The 21,106-nt window shown below is 36.3% G+C and overlaps 2 protein-coding genes across 3 annotated transcripts in view; both read right to left on the reverse strand.

Moving 5' to 3' along the window:
• LY75-CD302 (LY75-CD302 readthrough) overlaps positions 1-21,106 on the reverse strand; it is a 136,129-nt gene that overhangs the window by 101,211 nt on the left and 13,812 nt on the right. For both annotated transcript variants that reach the window (NM_001198760.1, NM_001198759.1), the window contains exons 4-13: positions 20,375-20,539; positions 16,582-16,692; positions 15,315-15,455; positions 12,286-12,477; positions 11,245-11,402; positions 9,421-9,531; positions 8,795-8,883; positions 8,486-8,655; positions 5,606-5,805; positions 2,613-2,755 (exon numbers count right to left, since the gene is read on the reverse strand). In NM_001198760.1, coding sequence (NP_001185689.1) covers positions 2,613-2,755; positions 5,606-5,805; positions 8,486-8,655; positions 8,795-8,883; positions 9,421-9,531; positions 11,245-11,402; positions 12,286-12,477; positions 15,315-15,455; positions 16,582-16,692; positions 20,375-20,539 — 1,480 coding nt within the window. The remainder of the gene's footprint in view (positions 1-2,612; positions 2,756-5,605; positions 5,806-8,485; positions 8,656-8,794; positions 8,884-9,420; positions 9,532-11,244; positions 11,403-12,285; positions 12,478-15,314; positions 15,456-16,581; positions 16,693-20,374; positions 20,540-21,106) is intronic.
• LY75 (lymphocyte antigen 75) overlaps positions 1-21,106 on the reverse strand; it is a 101,402-nt gene that overhangs the window by 66,484 nt on the left and 13,812 nt on the right. Inside the window, exons 4-13 of the mRNA NM_002349.4 lie at positions 20,375-20,539; positions 16,582-16,692; positions 15,315-15,455; positions 12,286-12,477; positions 11,245-11,402; positions 9,421-9,531; positions 8,795-8,883; positions 8,486-8,655; positions 5,606-5,805; positions 2,613-2,755 (exon numbers count right to left, since the gene is read on the reverse strand). Of these exons, the coding sequence (NP_002340.2) occupies positions 2,613-2,755; positions 5,606-5,805; positions 8,486-8,655; positions 8,795-8,883; positions 9,421-9,531; positions 11,245-11,402; positions 12,286-12,477; positions 15,315-15,455; positions 16,582-16,692; positions 20,375-20,539 (1,480 nt within the window). The remainder of the gene's footprint in view (positions 1-2,612; positions 2,756-5,605; positions 5,806-8,485; positions 8,656-8,794; positions 8,884-9,420; positions 9,532-11,244; positions 11,403-12,285; positions 12,478-15,314; positions 15,456-16,581; positions 16,693-20,374; positions 20,540-21,106) is intronic.

Genomic DNA, 21,106 nt, shown 5'->3' on the forward strand with positions numbered 1-21,106 from the left:
ATGTGTGGAAAATTTTGGTCTGAATTTTGCATTTGTTATAATCTATTCTCAAGGTTGAGGGAATAGCTAACACTCACCTCACAAAGAACCCAAGAGTTAGTATTTAGTATATACAAATTGCCTTGGGTCAGTCTGCAGTGAAATTTTGTATATTAATTTCTAACACTGGACAATGATGTCTAGAATACCTGAGATTCTACGATAGATGCTTAATAAATAAATATTTATGGAACACAGGTATCATATTTTGCATTAGATTCCCAGTACACTGTAGTGAAACTACATTCTCTAATGAGAAAAACACAGCAGAAGCTATATTAGAGCAAATCTGGGCCAGGCACTGTGGCTCACATCTGTGATCCCAGCACCTTGGGAGGCCAAGGAAGGTGAATCGCTTGAGCCAGGAATCTGAGATTAGCCTGGGCAACATGGAAAAACCCGTTTCTACAAAAAAATACAAACATTAGCTGGGTGTGGTGGCATGTGATTGTAGTCCCAGCTACTTGGGAGGCTGAAGTGGGGGGATTACCTGAGTCTGGGAGGTTGAGGCTGCAGTGAGCTGTAATCATGCCACTGTACCTCAGCCTGAGTGACAAAACAAGACTGTCTCAAAAAACAAAACAAAAAGCAAATCTGGAAAATATAGAAATTTTCAAAGAAAACATTCTATTCATTTATTTTTTACAGACAGCATCTCACTCTGTTGCCCAAGCTGGAGTGCAGTGGCACTATCTTGTCTCACTGTATCCTTGAACTCCTGGGCTCAAGTGATCCTCCTGACTCAGCCTCCTGAGTAACCAGGACTACAGGTGTGTGCCACCATGCCCAGCTAATTCTTTTTTTTTTTTTTTTAAATAGAGATAGGGTCTCCCTATGCTACCCAGGCTGGTCTCGAACTCCTGGTTTCAAGCAATCCTCTCACCTCAGGCCCCCAAAGTGCTGGGATTACAGGCATAAGCCACCACACCCAGCCCATAGAAAAGACTTTAAAAATCACTCAAAATCTTACTTCCTAGAGATATAATAGCCATTACCCTTTTTGCAGTCTAGTTTTAAATGTAAATAGTATATTTTTTACTCTTTGATAATCTGTCTTTTCCTCTGCTTAATATATATAAACATTTACACATTATAGTATTGTTTTTATCTTAATGTGCAGGAGTTGAATTTCAAACCAAGATTAACAATAGTGATGATATAGGGATACTTACCTTTTTCTGACTTTCAGGGAAATGCACTTAACAATGCTTCATCATTAAGTGTGATATGGCTATTAATTTGAGCTATTCTTCTATTCAAATAAGAATTTACATATTAGTTATATTTACTAAATATAAGTGTATATTTATGTATTAAACCAGGAATGAATAGTGGATTTTACCCAATGCATTTTCAGTACCTATTAAGATGATCACATGACTTGTGATTATTAACTCAATTGCTATTTGAGTAAATATAAGACAAGCACATAACATAAGCAAGTGAAGTGGGGTCAAGAAGTAATAAATTAGAGACCTGGCAAATTGGAGAGTCAGGCCCCATTTCAGGAGGCCACCAGCTACTCAGCACTAACTTTTATCTGTTGCACAATGAAAATGTTGCTAGTTGCTTTAATTTTTAAAATTAAAAAATTTAAAAAATTTTTAAATTTTTAAGGATTTTTATTAGAATTTCACAATTTTGTAGTATTTTGTGGCCCCTTCCTCCCAGGAAAAGAACATTATAGTCTTAGAGCTGGATAAGTACTAATTGGCAAGCTTTGTTTTAAGTCTCTTTCAAAAGTGCAGAATTGGACTTTATTATTATTGAACAAATTTGCAGACTCACACTTAATCAAAACTGATAATGGGCTGGGTGTGGTGGCTAATGCCTGTAATCCCAGTACTTTGGGAGGCTGAGGTGGGCAGATCACCTGAGGTCAGAAGTTCGAGACCAGCCTGGCCAACCCCTTCCTCTCTGTGTATATATGTATATATGCAGGTATATGTGAGTGTGTGTAGATATAAATACACACACACGCACCTTGTTTTTGTTTTTTGTTTGGTTGTGTTTAATTACTTAAGATCAAACTCCTTCCCTTGCAAACAAGGACATTCCAATTTCATATCCAAATTCCATTTTCTAGCTAATTTGTATGACTCATTTCTCCTTGACCATATCTGTATATTCTGGTCTTAGTTCCTTTGCTTATGTTCTGTTTTTTTTCTGGCTCCTTCTCCTTCTCCTATCTTGCCTTTTGAAATAATACCTACCTTCCAAGAATCAGCCTTCTTTATGACATTTTTCCTGATTATACTCCCAGAAACACTCCCTCCCTCCTCTGAATTCCCAAGGCCCTTCCTTGCCTATATTCTAGATTTTCTGCCATACATTGCTGTTGGACTTTATTAAACAAAGGGTAGGGAATACATCTCATTCATTTTTAGATTCCTCATAGTGTCTGCACATTAAGAGTGCTTAATGTTCCATGACTGCTAAGCACCAAATGACCTTTTAGATAATAAAACATGTCCATTTTTTTTCCAACAGAGAGTGAGGGTAAGAACATGTCAATTTTGAATATCTAGAGGACATCAAATTCAGCATAGAAATTCTCATTCTTAAAGTATTACCTGAACTGGTCCGTTAAAAAGTGAAGAAATTCCTTTATTTCATCCACATGGCTGAAGCTAGAAAGGTGTGCTCCAAGGGCTTGGCAGAATCGTTCAGCTTCTTCCCAGTTCCTCTTTCTTACAATTCTTTCTGCATGGAATACCTTAGCAAAATATAATATTAATTTGTTTTATGGTATTATCATAAAGTATTTCATAGTGCTAAAGTCAATTACTGTCACATGTGTGGGCCCCTGAAATGAATTCTTAAAGGTGTAGTGAAGGCATAGGTAAATGCACATATACTGAGACACAGACAGGTCCTGCTGAAAGTGTCAATTCAACTAAAGGCCAGCACAGATGCCAGTCCTTGTGGTCAGATGGATGGCCTTCCTCAGCCAGGCTGGGGAACTATTCCAACAAGATCCACGTTCTCCTGTATTCCTAGGACCTTGAAAGATAAAATGAACCAGGAGGCAAGGCTGTAAAGGATACATATAAATGCTTTGGGAGTAGCCTTTGGCAAAGAAATGTGCTAACAATAGAAATTTCGAATATAAGACACAGTGACCCACACAAAAATAGCACTATTTTCTGACGAGGAACAACCAAAGAGCAGTCTGCACTGGTGTGTGAATATTGACAGAAAGTGGCAAAAGTAAACCTGGAACTTGGGCTGTTTCAAAAGAAGAAGAAAGGAGAAAAAGAAAGAAGAAGAAAGAAGAAAGAAGAAAGAAGAAAAAGAGGAGGAGGAGGAGGCAGAGGAGGAAGAAGAGATGATGACACAATGACAGGATGAATTATATTTGTCCCAATTCTTCAGTTCCTTGTAATATAATTAGATGGTCTTGCCACAGCCCCCTGGTGGGCGGAGTATACGTCTTTGTACCTTGGCATGGGGCTTGGCCATATGACTTACTGTGTTGATGGGATATTAGTGAAGGTAAACTGAGCAGAGGCCTGAAATGTGCTTATATGGTTGGCTTGCCTTCTTGGGCTCCAGTGATATACCATGAGAACAACAAACCCCTGTGAGCTGTTGCCCTTTTAGCCTGAGCTCTAGAAGGAAGGGCTGGAGCCCAGCACAGCTGACCTGAAGTTGGGAGCAGAGGTCACCATTCAAGCCCAAACTAGATCAGTCAAACTCTAGCTGGCCTGAAGATCTGTGAGAATGTGAGGCTAAATGTTTGTTGTCATAGCCACCGAATTTTGGGATGGCATCTAGTGGTTTGTTTATGGAACTAGCTGACTGATGCAGACCAAATATATATATAAATATATATACATATAATAAAAATACACATAAATATATACATTTTGTAAAAATATACATAAATATATACATTTTGTAAAAATATACATAAATATATACATATAGTAAAAATACATATAAACGTATATATTTTGTAAAAATACATATAAACGTATATATTTTGTAAAAATACATATAAACGTATATATTTTGTAAAAATACATATAAACGTATATATTTTGTAAAAATACATATAAACGTATATATTTTGTAAAAATACATATAAACGTATATATTTTGTAAAAATACATATAAACGTATATATTTTGTAAAAATACATATAAACGTATATATTTTGTAAAAATACATATAAACGTATATATTTTGTAAAAATATATAAACGTATATATTTTGTAAATATATAAACGTATATATATTTTGTAAATATATAAACGTATATATATTTTGTAAATATATATAAACGTATATATATTGTAAATATATATAAATATATTGTAAATATATATAGTAAATATATATAAATATATTGTAAATATATATATTGTAAATATATATATTGTAAATATATATAAATATATTGTAAATATATGTTTTGTAAATATATAAATATATATATGTTTTGTAAATCTATATAAATATATACATATTTTGTAAATCTATATAAATATATACATATTTTGTAAATCTATATAAATATATACATATTTTGTAAATCTATATAAATATATACATATTTTGTAAATCTATATAAATATATACATATTTTGTAAATCTATATAAATATGTACATATTTTGTAAATCTATATAAATATGTACATATTTTGTAAATCTATATAAATATGTACATATTTTGTAAATCTATATAAATATGTACATATTTTGTAAATATATATAAATATATATATTTTGTAAATATATATATAGTAAATATATGTAAATATATATATTTTGTAAATATATATATATTTTGTAAATATATGTAAATATATATATTTTGTAAATATATGTAAATATATATATTTTGTAAATATATGTAAATATATATATTTTGTAAATATATGTAAATATATATATTTTGTAAATATATGTAAATATATATATTTTGTAAATTTATGTAAATATATATATTTTGTAAATATATGTAAATATATATATATTTTGTAAATATATATACATATATATTTTGTAAATATATAAACATATATATTTTATAAATATATTTATAAATATATATATTGTAAATATATTTATAAATATATTTATAATATATATATTGTAAATATGTTTATAAATATATATATTGTATATATAAATATATATATTTGTATATATACACACAAATATATATATGTTTGTAAAAGTGTAAATATATATACACTTTTTTTACATTATTAGGAGTGCTGGAGCTGTTAATTTGACAACAAGAATTAGAGGAATATGAGGATCATAGGCATAGTGGCAGTATGGCATATAGTACACCAACTTACTGGGAAAAAAAGACCTTGGGGTGGAGCCACTTCTGGCTTTGGGCCTGCCCTTTCAGGTAGGACACGTGCAGGGTGTGGGGCTGAGGCACCTCACACCAGAGGTTCAGCGATGCCCTGCCAAGGACTCTGTGCTCCAGAGCACTTTAGTTAGGTTACATAGTACTATGGAGAAGAGCATAATTTGTACAAGGACATGAACAAGGGTAGTGGAAAAATAACTTCATTGAAGGATAGAATGAGAATGTCACTTTACCTTATAACAAGAAAGACTTGCGGGGAAACTCTGCCAGCCTTCAGGACAGGGGTCATCAGGCTTAGGGGATGCTTCTTCAGGCCCAAGGGGTCCACTCATTTTCTTGCAAATTGAAAGTGCTTTGAAGCTTCTGCAGTCCTTCACCTCCCACTTTCCAACAGACTTTCCAGTAGACATAGCCACGCAGCCGCCCGGGGAAGCTGGGATTGAAGTGGAAAGCTCAATTAAAAATTAAAACGTTAAAGTTCAAACATTTTCTAGTGTTTCTACTCTTTACTTCAGCCAAGTTGGGGAGAGAGAATAAAAAAAAAATGGAACAAAGAGAGGAAAGAAATATGTTGTTCAGAATAATAATGACAGGTGTTTATTATTTGTAAAGTACTTTTTGAAAAAGATTAATCCTCATAACAAACCTATGGGGGGATTCTATTGTCATAATTTGAGGTACAGTGAGAATGAAGTGACTTGTTCAAGGTCATAGAATTAGTAAGTGGTTGCCCCAGGATTTGTGCCCAGGTGGTCTGTTTCTAGAGCTGTACCCTAAATACTACTGCTGCTTAGGATAGTGGTTCAAATTAGCTTAAAAACTTTGAGCAGTTTTTAAGAAACTTAGTTAACCTCAAAACACAACTCTCCCAGATTCTGATCCAAAGGAAAAGCTGGTACAATAAAGGTAGAAGGAGGTATGTGGTAACATACATTTGTTTACCGTTAATTTTATGACAGTCATAATTTTATGTATTCATAACAGTATTAAAAGGTAGTTTGAATTATCAGTTCCATTTTGTAAATGAAGACTAAGTAACTTGCCCACAGTCAGAGTTAGTGAATGGTAGAGTTGGGGTTGAAACCAGATTTGTCTGACAAAACATCATGTTCCATTTTCCATTACATCACACTGCCTGAAGCAGGTAAAAGACAAGAAGAGTTACATATACTGAAAAGTAATAGGACAACTTCTATCCCACCAAACAGAGAAGCCACATAGTCTCATATACACAAACAGCAAGAGGAATAAGAAACTGGGAAAAATAATTGCCTTGCTACCCTGAATGGGTGTGCTATTTTTCCCTGTTCAGTCCTTCTATCCACGGTGTGCCCATGATAGACCAAGTTGGCTGAGGATGGGTGCAATAATGGTAAAGAGAGCTTCACATAGCCTTTCTGGTCATAGAATGGAGGAAGTAGTCATGGTAGCTACTTCCCAAGCACCTCTCCAACCACCAAGACTTAGTTATCAAGAACGTCACCTTTACTCTTAGTGTCTATAAAACAAATCTGGCCAGGCACGGTGGCTCACGCCTGTAATCCCAGCACTTTCGGAGGCTGAGGTGGGTAGATCACCTGAGGTCAGGAGTTCGAGACCAGCCTGGCCAAAATGGTGAAACTCCGTCTCTACTAAAAATACAAAAAAAATTAGCTGGGCATGGTGGCAGGTGCCTGTAATCCCAGCTACTTGGGAGGCTGAGGCAGGAGAATTGTTTGTACACGGGAGGCAGAGGTTACAGTGAGCCGAGATCGAGCCATTGCACTCCAGCCTGGGCAAGAGGAGCGAAACTCCATCTCAAAAAAAAAAAAAAAAAAAAAAAAAGAAAAAAGAAAAAGAAAAAAAGAAATCTATGTGCTTTATCCATTAGAGTGTTCTTAATCTGAGATTTAACCAGGATCAACATCTGTATACTCTATCTTTTTCAGACATAAAAGGATGACTTTGTTACTAGCAACATCACTCATGTTGATGGTGATGACCATGTGTCCTAACTTTTGTGGGCATTTTCTATTTCAAATAACATGTTCAATTGTAAGCTCATATTTTCCAATCTCTGTGTTATAAAAAATAGTCTTCATGATCACATTAGACCAACACAATAAAATATAAATAATTCACAGGGTGAAAAGTAGAATGCTTTATACTGCTGTCTTATTCAAAGCCACTGGCTTAAAAATCAGGAACTCTGGATTTCATTAATTCAATAACCAGATGATCTTTGTCAAGTAAATCACCTTTTAAAGTCTCTGTTTTCTTAACTCTAAAAGTATTTCTGAGGTCCTTTCCGGCTTAAGTGTTCTGATTCTATGGCAAATTATGGTCAATGCTTTAGGCTGGTTGGAGAAAGAGGAAATAACTTTCAAAATAAATAAGAAGCCAGGCACAGTGGCTCACACCTGTAATCCCAGCACTTTGGGAGGCTGAGGCAGATGGATTACTTGGGGTCAGGAGATCGAGACCAGCCTGGCCAACATGTTAAAACCCCATCTCTACAGAAATACAAAAAGTAGCTGGGCATGTTGGCATGCACCTGTAATCCCAGCTACTTGGGAGGCTGAGGCAGAAGAATCACTTGAACCTGGGAGGCAGAGGTTGCAGTGAGCCGAGATCACACCACTGCATTCCAGCCTGGGCAACAGAGTGAGACCCCATCTCAAAACAAAAACAAAAACAAAAACAAAATAAATAATACAAGATAGCCTCCATAATTCTTACCCATTGAGAATAATGGAAGAAAACACATTCAGTTTTGAAAATAGGTTAAGAAGCAGAGAGATGAAAATGTAAAGAGCCTCACACGGGAGCTTCTAGATTCTATTTGAGATTTACATGGAAAAGATTTTAAAAACTCACACTGGTGCTTCTAGCTCTGAGCCATTAGATGGTGGTTTGGGAGAACTAAGTTTTTGAATTTCTTTCATTGGATTATTCCCAAGGACATAATAGGGAAGACATAGCCACTGCTTCTATTTATGGTTCCATAGATAGACTCCAATCCTGAAGATCATCATGTCCCTCACATTTCAAAAGTAAGTGAGGAACATCTTTGGGAGGAGTGCTGCCTTTCACTAGTCACAGTATACTACTACTTCAAAGATTAAGACACTCACCTGGCTCAAGAAAATTCCAGTTGGAAAAGGTTACAGCCCGCCTTCTTCCACCAACAGTTGCCCAGTTATACTCTCCACAAGAATCTACATCTCTCAGGCCAGTCCAGAAGTATTTTCTTAGAGATTTATCATACTTTTTCATCAAATCATTTAGGTATTCTTGCTCAAATCTACAAAAGGAGAATCAAATTGGCAAGTGTTTCACAATGATTGACTCTATTTGAAGATGCACCTTTTACTTAGGAAGACTGTTTGGCAAAAGAATTCAGAGTTGAAAGTTTATGAGTACAAGTTTACTGATGGTCACACCTGCTAGTGATAGTCAGATTGCAGTTTGTTCCAAAAGGGACCTCATCCTCATAAATCTTGTAACAGGTTTCTCCATGTCTCTTCCAGCCCTAAGTCAGAGGAAAAATATTGTCAAACTCTTTTCCAGACTTGATGGTGTCCCGTCTGGCAAGCATGTTTCTGCTACATTGATAACGTCTTAGAACTTGTGGAAATTGAGGACATGGCTATTGAAATCATACATGTGATGAGGGTGGGATGCAATTTCACAGATAACCTCCACAAGACTGTGGGCCTGTGTCAGACAAAAAGTATGGGTTACTTCTCATATGGGTGGCTGGCTCATCATAAGAGTATAATATTCACTGGATGAATTATTTTTGAATATTGATATTAGTGGGGGAAGTAAAGACATCAGCCTTGAGGATAGTAATTCTACAAATATTTATAGAAATTTTCAAGTTTCTGCTTCTGTAAGAAGGCCAATATGCTATGACTCACTGCCTTCTGGCTTGTTCTAACTTAAATGAACAGAAGCTAGTAGTTTCCTCTATTTTATAAGTCTGAGTTATTTAAGTCTCAGCTACCATTTCTAACCAAGAAGTTGTAATACTGCTTGAGAAAATTTACATAGGGATTTTACCTACCTCATCTGGAGGACACATCTTATCAGAACTTGCGTCATTCAGTTTTTCTCCCTTTCTCTTGCATACATATTTTAGTTTCTCCTCACATGATTGGACTTTCCACTGACCTAGCTTTGAAAGGAGACAAAAACATTTGCTTGGAAAGGAAATTATTTACCGCATATTCAGAACTGAACTCACAAAAACTATGACAGAGACAGAGAGAGAGAAATGAATATAAGTGAATTATCAAATGTGAGAACACACTCCTAGAAAATGCTACTCAACAGGCCTGCAAAGTGATGGCTCACAGCCAGTTACCTCAGCATCACCTCCAGGTCACAGTGTGGATAAATTTCATTTTCTTATAAGAGTAGCAATAAAACCATCAAAGCACACTTAGTATAAAAGTTGAAGAGAGAAGAACTCAGCCCACAGTTCCAGCATTCTAGTCTTCTAGACTAGAATGGCATAGCCAAAGTTTGAAACTTTTAGGTACATCATCAACCTCCCTTTCTCGGTTTCCTCACGTGTAAAATGATGATGGTGGCTAAAATAGCTATTCTCCATGAATTCTAGGTCAAAAGTTTCTTTCAACTCTACTTCAATCTGGACTTCAAAATTCTCTCTTTCATATATGCTACTTAACATTAATTTGCTTAATTGACTACGTCACTTTGCTTTGTTTGAATTAAATTCTAATAAGTCGATTGTGATAAGGGTCAGTTTTGAACATTGGAATGCTGTCTAGGTATGCCATCAATTCACTCTTGCCCATGGGAACACTTTTCCATTTCTGATGTTCTTCTAAAGACATGTTGGATGTCCTTTTAAATAGAGCATCAAATGTGACACCTTTCTAAACTTCTTTTAAATACACATAATATTTATTGCTTCCACTTAAGTCTCTTTAGATGTCTGAGTGACACAGTCACTTTCATAACCAATTAGGGGTCCACAGGAAAGTGATACAAACAAAACGTAGAGGTACATATATCTTTTCTGCTCAAGACACAGCCTATTTTGGATTATTAAGTAAAAGATGTTCAAAAAATGTTTAAGCATTCTATAGGAGTAAGGTGGTTTCTGAAAAATGTTAGGCCTAGTTTTTAAATAAAACCATTTTTTTACTTCTCAAAGTAGTATCGATATAAAACAATCTGAACATGAATTTGGAAGATGGGATTTTTCAGGTTAAATTGTGGCTATCTGCCGAATATCACACTGATGGCAGAAAGGTGGGTGCAGGCCCTGGTCCTGAGAGAAAGCAGGTTGCTAGAATCAGTCAGCACAAGAATGTGAGTTCTAAAGGGATTCTCTGTATCTGTTTGAGACCAGAAAAGATGCTCTCAGATAGGATATGGGTTGCTTATTTAGTAATTGCTTTTATTTACCTTTTTAAAGTAGCTACCAGAAAGACAGTCTAGACTTTAGATTATTTGTTGCCAACCTTTGACACCAGGGACCAGTTTTGTGGAAGACAATTTTTTCCACAGAGGGTGGGGAAGAGGATAGTTTTGGGATGAAACTGTTCCACAAGGAAGTGCAACCTAGATCCCTTGCATGTGCAGTTCATAATAGGGTTCACCCTCCTAGGAGAATCTAATGCTGCTGCCAATCTGACAGGAGGCGGAGTTCAGGCAGTAATGCTTGCTTACCCGCCGCTCACCTCCTGCTGTGCGGCCCAATTCTTAACAGGTAATGGTCCGTGGCTCTGTACCCTGATCCAGAGTGCTCTTACCTTTTATTTTCCAGCTTATACGCAAACTTCCCAACCAAAGAAGTCTTAATATTATCATTAGGTAAAACAGGAAGAATATAAAGAAACCACAGGAGGTTTCGTACCTCTCCTAAGTAGGAAACACAGTTGGGCGTCTTATTGTAGGGAACATTTGGCTCATTCTCATCCCAATATGTTAGAGTAACTTCAGTACCATCTGACCACTGAAATAAAGTTGGTATGTTTATGTTCTTAAGGCCTATCCACACTTCTTCTTTGATATCTAAAAGAAAAATGTATTATTTGTTTGGTTTTGCTCAATTAAATACTGTAATATGTACATTGTTATACAAATTTTTATATTCTGATATGGAGTTTTAAGAGCCTTTGTAGTATTCTTAATTCGGTTATTAATATGTTGATACGACAGGCAGGTTGGGTAATGAAGGCTTTTCAAGTAACTTATGCAAGTAAAGTACACAGGTAGAACATCTGCAGGCTGGGTGTTCCTGATATCTGGTGTAGATAAACTTTGCTTTGTGGGGTGAATGAAATTCTATAAATACAATCATACATATCCCAATTTGAATAGAAATACTGTCCACTGCTGCCCTGGTATGACTCTGCTGCCTTCACAAGTGAAACAAGGAGCACCAGGCTGGCACTGAGTAGGTACCTACTCTTAGCTATTCTAGCTAAGAGTTCTATTCTAGGAAGAGATCATAATACTGTCCGTCTAGTATATTTTCCTTTACCAGTCTTTAGCTTTCAAATAATTACAAAAGTGAAGTAATTATCACTTAAGTTTTTTGAGCAACTTAAATAGAATTTAGCTCATGAGAAGAGGGAAATCAATCAATGGCAGTACTGTCAAATTGGTTGCCACTAGGCACATGCGGCCACTTAAATTAATTAAGATGAAATAAAAGTAATAATTCAGTTCCTCAGTTGCCCTGGCTACATGCCAACTGCTCAGAAGCTGCATGTTGCTAGTGACCACCATACTAGACCAATTGTAGAACAGTTCCATCACCAGAGACAATCCTATCTGACAGGGCTGATCTGTGGGATCAAACTGTAAGCTTTTCATTCCCACAAAGAGTCTAAAACCAGGGATACTTTAAAATGGCTTAAGCCTCTCAAATAGGGTATTTTTAAAAACTTACCCTCATTATGGAGTTTTGTGACAACCACCTCCACATCTGCTAGAGAATGAATGCTGATTAGGTCACTACTGAAGGCTTTGCATTTCGCATGTGCCTTATCCCAGGAATTACTTTCATTTACCAGCAGATAGCAAAATCCATTATTTGGCAGCCAGCCTGCATCACAGCGGGTATCTGAGTATGTCCAGACATCTGGGGGAAAAGCAGCTATTTATATTCCAGTAAAGATACATCTATTGTGAATCAATAACATTGCAAATTCTTTTTTCTTGAATAATGAGAGTCCTGGAAAACTGGGGACGTGATGTCAGATGCTACGGTGACATGAATTCATGTGGTGCCTACCACATAAATGAGGTATATATAGCATCATAGGAATTCCCGCTGGGATTCAGAAAATGATGTGACTTTAACATGCTTCAATGTGCTATATGGCTGAGCACAGACTATTAAGGGCTTGGACACAGTCAAGGGAGATTGCCCTTAGTCCAAGTAGACAGTAGAAAGATGTGCCTTAAGTCATTTTCTGACAAATTTTTTCCTGGATATGGAATTTGTTAGGTTTCCCTCCAGTCTCTGTCCTTGAGAAGATTATAAGAGGGCAAGCCTCCTTTTCTTGTATGGCCAGCTTAGCAAGGGGATGTAGATTAACGCTCACCGTTGAACAAAGGACAGGCAGAGATTTAAGGGACAGAATAAGACATTTATACACTTCGCATCCAAGAGATGAGAGGGCAAAGGTTACCCCTGGACTTCTTTCCTCCCCTCTGCTAGACAGATGGTCCTCATGGAATTAGTGATTCTGTTTTGACCATGAGAAAGCTCACAATCGAAGGTCTAATCTTTCCAGATTAGAAAAAAAGAATGAAGTATGAAACCCCACAGAATACTTCTATCCCCGTTAACAAAACCAGAAAGTGAGTTGGTTACTCAGACTTCACTGATTTAGAACCATTTGGAATATTTGTTGTAAGAAAACACAGCATCTCTGGGGACTGTTGTGGGGTGGGGGGAGGGGGAGGGGGGAGGGATAGCATTGGGAGATATACCTAATGCTAGATGACGAGTTAGTGGGTGCAGCGCACCAGCATGGCACACGTATACATATGTAACTAACCTGCACAATGTGCACATGTACCCTAAAACTTAAAGTATAATTAAAAAAAAAAAGAAAAAAAAATGTGGACAGTTTGTTTTTTTTACTAAAGGATAAAGTGATTCAGATTCAGCTAGCCTCTTACACTTGCGAGATAACTCAATTAACTTTAATATTCTGAAATAGCATGTATTATTGTTATATTTTATAATTATGATAAAGGAACAGAGGAAAAATATCACCCATAATGGAACTTAATGCAATCATTTTCATATTCTAGTCTTTGTCTCAATGAATACATATTTTTACAAGATTAAAATGATAAGTAGGCATATCATTTGGTTTTGTTCTTTGTATTTTCCTGCTGGCACAGTTATTTTAGTAAATGCATATTATTCAATCATGTGGAAACATCATGATTTATTTAATAATTGCTACTGCAAGGTATTTACTTAATCTATCATCAATTGCTCTAGTTTATTTTCATTTGTGCTGGCTTTTCTATTATGCCTTTTGTTGTATGGACTAAATTTGGTTTGAATCAACTTGGAAGACAAATGTTCATTTCCCCTATTATCTTAAAATATCCCCTCAGATTCTTTATTTTATATCTAGTTTTTCCTTAAAAATTGCTCTATACTCCTTTTTAGATGACAAGACATTTGAATGCTTTATTCCCTTCACTCACAGTTCCTTAAAGCAGGACATTTAAAAATCATCCTTTCCCCTTGATATGGTTTGGCTGTGTCCTCACCCAAATCTCACCTTAAATTCCCATGTGTTATGGGAGGGACCTGGTGAAAGGTAATTGAATCATGGGGGCAGGTCTCTCCCTGCTGTTCTCGTGATAGCGAATAAGTCTCATGAGATCTGGCGGTTTTATAAGGCGGAGTTTTCCTTCACAAGCTCTCTTTCTTTGCCTGCCACCATTCATGTAAGATGTGACTTGCTCCTCCTTGCCTTCGGCCATGATTGTGAGACCTCCCCAGCCACGTGAGATTGTAAGGTCCATTAAACCTCTTTTTCTTCCCAGTCTTGGGTATGTCTTTATCAGTAGCATGAAAACGGATGAATACATCCCTCCAGCTTTGAGTATTAGTTTCTCTCATTTGGTGAGGATGTAATTAAATACCAGGTATACATCAGGCCCTGTGCTTGACAGTCAATACACTCCTCTTCTCCATTCTTTCAAAAACTCCTCACACCCTTCCACTCCTCAAAAACTTCAGCTGTTCTTGTGTCACTTTCATCCCCAAACACCCTGGAAAAACCCCCTTATTGTACACATTTTGTCCCTCTGCACCTCTCCTTTTTTACTTGATTTTTCAATGCAAAGACTTGCCTGACAGAGAAGGATAGAAGAGGGCTGGGTGCTGTGGGGCACAAGGTAGAGAAGCCTGGGCTTACTCCTGTGTCTATAGGTTTTGCCTCATTACGGAGGCATGAACTGCAGTGGTTCTCAGACTTGAATACGCATCAGAACCACCTGGAAAGTTTCTTAAAATACAGATTGCTGGACCCCATCCTGTAGTTTCTGATGTAGCAAATCTGGGGTGGGTCCTGAGAGCTTGCATTTCTAACAGGAAGAGGTGATGCTGATGCTGTTGGTCTGGGGACCACCCCTGGAGAACCACTGCTCTGGAGAAAAAAGAGCCACACACGAACAGAAGTATATTTCCTATCTCGAATATCTCTGCCTTCTTCTGGGCGCATACATATTTATATTTAATATTCTTCATTACCTCAAATAAAGCTTTATTCATATATGGTTGATAATATCTAACCACAGGGTTAAAAATCAAGTACTTTTCTGTACTGTCAGTATCAGGAGAAGGAAAGGTGGAAACGGATGTTGGAAAAGATTTACTTGTTTTCACAAAACTATGATTTTAAGACCTATTTGTCTATTTGTATGAGTATGTGAGAAAGATACCTGTTAACTCCACTGTATTATTTAATGGTTTCCTGCAGACATAGGGCAGTTGAGCTTCACAGGAAAAGCTCTGCCACAGACCAGACTCAGCATCCATTCTTGCACAGCTGGAGCCACCTATAGTAGGTGCACTGGGCCTGTCTTAAAAGGGAACATTTTTCAAAGCATTAGAATGAGAAAGTTAGGGCCAGGATGGTGTCAGAAAGAATAATTTGTATTCCTAATTTTATGCTTTTATGGGAACTCATATTATAGTTAAAACTTAACTAAATTGAAACGTATAAGCCTCAATGAATAATTATGTGCTTAAATATGTCTTTCTTCTAAAATATAGAATCTAAAGGGAAAACATCATGATATGTTGTAGTTAATTTTAAAAACAAAAACCAAACTTTTTCCTCAAATGACTTCCAGGCCATATTCTATGCTTAGTAGCTCTTAATCTGCTACTCCATAAAATAAAAATATTAATTTATCATTGTCATGCCATTAAGGCCTTGAGTTAAAGATTAAATTATCTTTAAATATTCTATTTACTGAAATAATAAAAGTATTACTTCATTTGCTGGTAAGGAAATTTAGCAAACTAAATTAACTAAAGTGGCTAATTTGAATTTTATTGCTCTTAACTCAGTTTTCCTACTATGTGTGCAGGCAGCTTTATACTGAAATTAGTGTTAACTTTAGGTTCTACATTTGTCATAAGCCTAAGATTTTATTTTTCAAAGTTGTCTAATCCTTCCTTTGGGAAGAATGCTTTTTGGCTAAGTGGCATTTTGCTTGTTTTATTCCCTAAAAGACTTTCTTTGAGGTATTTATTTGTATTATAAAATACAACCATTATATTGTCAGTACTTGGGTGCTATAGTGGGGAGAGACCCCAAGAGTTTGAAAACGAGCGGATAATTCCATATTAGAGTTCAGCTGCAGATGAAACACAGCATGGGTGAGTTATAGACATGCCAAGTCCTTTAGGGACATAGAATGGCTCCTGGGCCATGTGGTGGAGCTCATTTTGCTCTTACATAAAAATGTAGGGTTGTTCTAAAGGTCTAGAGGTTCAAATGCTCAGTTGTCCATGGTGTGGTTCAGCTTGGCAATAACAGTACCACAATTAAGAATGGTTTAGGAAGAAAAAATTCTTCTGAGAGGTAACCATAGTAAGAGCTGCCAAGATGTGAAACTTTTCTAAGCTATTGGTGAGTGAGAAGCTTTTGCTTTTTTGAAGATTTGTTCTGTGCAGAGGGGGTAGGGAAAGAGCAGTTACCTGGATCCCAGTTGAGAAAGTTTAATGGTTTGTGGTCTGACCATTCCCAGCCTCTAGCAGAGTATAGCTGATTTAAACCAATCCAGAAAATCTTAGCAATGCCTTCTTTTTCTGTAAGAATTAAAAAATTTTTAAAAAGTGACAAAGTTGCCTAAGTTATTATCTAAATTAGACTTATTCTACTAATAACAAACAAATCTGCAGACCTTGATTGTAAGGCAGCAATCCCTGTAGAGGGCTGTTTATGCATCAAAGGTAGGCAATGCTAATAGACAAAAATCTTCAGACTATTGAGAAACCCAAAGGCTGATAAGTTAATTCAGTTCTGCTCTCCTATTAGCTTGTCAAATTCCCTTTCATCTAAGGTAAGGACAGAAGCTTCTTAGAGTAGCTGTCTCACTATCTATTTTTAATCCTCTTTTATTAATATAGAAGACTTATCAAAAGCAGTTTCCATTGTACTTCTAGATTCAGAAGATCTGACTGTATTCTAGACTGACAATTTAAATTCATTAGGCACACATATTATTTGCCAGGTTCTAGGGATGTAAAAACTGAAATGACAAAGTCCTTGCCCTCATGAGAATTTCAATCTAGTAGAAGGAGACAGACATGGATCCCCATATGATCAAGTTTTTCTGGGACTGGGTCAGAAATATGTATAGGAGCTGTTTCATAGACAATGGAATATATATATATATTATATATAATATAACATATATATATGTGGCTTATGGCTCTAGGGCCCAAAGGGTCCTGTTTAGACTAGAGATACAGAATGAGAGTGAGAGTCACACACACACACACACACACACACACACACACACACACGTGGTACAGTGGAGATAGATCATTCAAATTTGTTATTTGATGACCAGATGCTATCAGCAATTAAGAAAGATAGAAGGCGGGTGGATCACCTGAAGTCAAGAGTTTGAGACCAGCCTGGCCAACACGGTGAAACCCTGTCTCTACTAAAAATACAAAAATTAGCCAGGTGTGGTGGCGTGTGCCTGTAATCCCAGCTACTCAGGAGGCTGAGGCAGAAGAATTGCTTGAACCCAGGAGACAGAGGTTGCAGTGAGCCGATATTGTGCCACTGCACTCCATCCTAGGTGGCAGAGCAGGACTCTGTCTCAACAACAACAAAAAAAAAAAAAAAAAAGAAAAAAGAAAGAAAGATAGAAAGCAGAGTTTTAGAGGTTAAAACACAGTTTTCTTGGGTCTTGGGAAACCAATAGTCATAATTAGGCGTATTGATATGCCTAAGAAGCTTTCACACTGGAAGAGGAACTTGAAACATTAGAAACAGATATACTTCTAAAATTAATGATATGTATTAAATACGGGGCATGTCCGGCCAGGAGTAGGGTACAATAAGGTCCTTTACCATATTACATTACTTTCATGAGTTATTAAAGAAAACTGATGCATAAAGAATCGTGCAACATTTGATTGTCACACTTTGGCACTTTTCTCCTTCACTGAAGTCATCGGTTTCCAAATGTCAATATTCTAGGAAACTTGAATTTATCGGCACTTTTCATTCGCAACAATATTTTTTCTGAGGCTTCAGTGAGGTCTGGAATAGAACTCCAATGCCAAACACTAGCTCATTTGGCTTATTTGGCAGATTTTCATTCTAAAGATCTGAATATTCAAGTGCCAAACAATACAGGAAAAGGGTAAAGCTACAAGTAAGAAAGGAGGTCTGAATAAAGCTGTAAACAAAAAGAGCGACAAAAGACCTGTGGCCTTTTAATGATAAAAAGAGATAAAGATATCTAAGAGGGGTACGTAGTATAACAAAAAAGCTGGGCATGATCCTGTGCTCCTGTAGTCCTAGCTACTTGGAAGACTGAGGTGGGAAGATCGCTTGAGCCCAAGAGTTGAGGCTATAGTGTGCTCTGATCACACCTGTGAATATCCACTGCACACTAGCCTGGGCAACATATTGAGACCCTCTTTCACATAAATAGAGTTCTGCAATTCTATATGTTGATATTCAAATCCCAATCTGATACTTCTTAGCTGTATGCTGTTGGGTATATTATTTCTAAGGATCAATTTCCTTATCTAGTGATAAAACATTTGTTTGATGAGGTTGTAGTAATGATTAATGGATTTATCTGGAGAAAGTAGGGCTTGCTTACAGTAAGCATTTATCAAATATTTCCAGTTATTATAAAATAGTGTGACAGAATGCATCTGAATTACTTAGACAATACATGTTTGCTTAATATATAGCAATAAAGCTTACAGCTTTGTGCAAAAGTGAAAAACAACCCATGAGACCCATTTCTGCCTGCAAAGAACTTACAGTCTTATAAAAGGTGAATCCATTTATATGTGTGATACAATTTGTTTTCAAGTCAAACTGACTCTTCAAATTTAGGCTCTGCTAAATACTTGTGGGTGACTTTGGACAAGTTATGTTTCCTCTCTGAGCCTCGCATTCCTCATCTGCAAAATGAGGATAACAATAACGTCCACCTCATAAGGTAGTTAGATGGGATGAAAGGAGATAATGTATAAAAAGCATTTAGTAGTCTGTCTGGCACATCATCATTATCATATATTACAATTATTTGTCTTTCATTCAAAGAATAACTCATCAGGGACTCAGTAACTTAGGTTCCTTGATTTTTAAATATAATATTAAAATTTGTTTATATAGTTTCTTTTGAAAGATATACAAGACTATGGAAAGAGTTATAGAATTTTACTGAGTACATAAAAGAAGTCCTAAATAAATAGAAAAGCATATCATTTTCATGGTTGAGAAGACAATATTGAAACTGCAATACCTTTTATTTATTTATTTTTTAAGACAAGGTCTTCCTCTATCACTCAGGCTGGAGTGCAGTGATGCCATCATAGCTCTCTGCAGCTTCAATCTCCCAGGCTCAAGCAATCCTTCTACCTCAGTCTCCAGAGCAGCTGGGACTACAGGCACATGCCAACAGCCAATTAAAAAAAAATTTTTTTTTTTGTAGAGACGTGGTCTCACTTTGCCCAGGCTGGTTTCAAACCCCTGGCTTCAAGTAATCCTCCTGCCTTTACCTTTTAAAGTGCTGGCATTGCAGGTGTGAGCCACCGCACCTGGCCAATTCCTCTTTAATGAATCTATGATTCAATACAATTCCAATCAAAGTTCCAATAGGGTTTGTTATTGAAATTAACAAGGTGATACTTAAATTCTTATGATAGGATAAATGGTCTTTTAAAGTTTTTATTTATTCTTATCTATTAAGTTTTCATAATTAAAAATTAAAAAATTACCACTACCATCCCCCAAACAAAACAAAACAAAGTCCTACCCATTCTGTGTCCATGTTATTAAATCCACTTTAAGATTTAGTAAAACACTCCTTGCCCCTGAGGACTGTACCCTTTCACTCAATGTAAGGATGTTTACTGAGGCCATCTAGTGTAACTTAACCATCTTCCTTCCCTTCCTTTAATTCTCTATTTTTCAATGTTCAAAGAGTTTAATTATTCGCTTTTTGAAAATCCTTTCATTTAGGATTAGGGTAGCAGTTTAATCTTGCTACCCAACCTTGTTTTCTGAACATCAATCTCTCTTTAGTTTCCATCACAAGATACATTTCTCAATGGTGAAATATGATTACATTCAGTACTTTTTTGCTTATGGGTTTCAGTGTAGAAGTTTAAATCCCAAGAGAGGTCAGAAAAGTTACATACAAAGAAACACATCTGGATATGAAAACAGAAGAAGAAGTACCTTTACAATTTTAGCCAATTTGCTCTATCACATGCAAATAAAATCTACCTTTAAGGTAAGTTAATTCAGCAGCACTGTTGATGCTCAGTAAATCAGCTCCTTGATTCTGACATGAAACATAAGCTTCTTTCCAAGAAAGAGCCGTCTGAGTATTAAATTGGTAGCAACTTCCAAACTGCTCGTTCTTTTCCCAATTATCTTCACAACCGTTTTCTGTTGATAAAGACACGTTAGTGATCATAAAGTAAGGACATAATGTTTTCTATTACTTAGAATGCTTAGAAATACTGCAAGTCAATTTGCATACTCTTAGGATATGCCCAAAGGGAGACTGCCATCACTCATTTAGACCATATTTTGATCACAATAAAATTGGAATCATGACACACCAAATGACTCAGGCTGGTTGAAGCTTCCACTCTTTCTTATTTTCCATTCTCCTTTTATCCCTATCAATTACAATGCTGTGTTTTCGCCCATGTCCCTGACTGCCCTCTGCCTGAGATATGGGTCTCAGTGTGCACATGTTGTGAACACTGAGCTAATGGAAAACAAGCTCATTTGAACATAGTGGCAGATGACAGAGGGTTTGCCCACAGCCTGCATAAAAACCACTGTATGTTTATGTGTGTGCACAGACATGCTGCTTAAATGGCCAAGATATTGAGCCCAAGTGACTACCTTATTTGGGAAACTATGTCCAAATTTCTCCTTAATACTTTAATAAAGAATATATGATATGTAATTCACATTACATATGCATTATATATGTATTTGTGT

Source organism: Homo sapiens, chromosome 2 (assembly GCF_000001405.40).
Source record: "Homo sapiens chromosome 2, GRCh38.p14 Primary Assembly".
Lineage (NCBI taxonomy): Eukaryota > Metazoa > Chordata > Mammalia > Primates > Hominidae > Homo > Homo sapiens.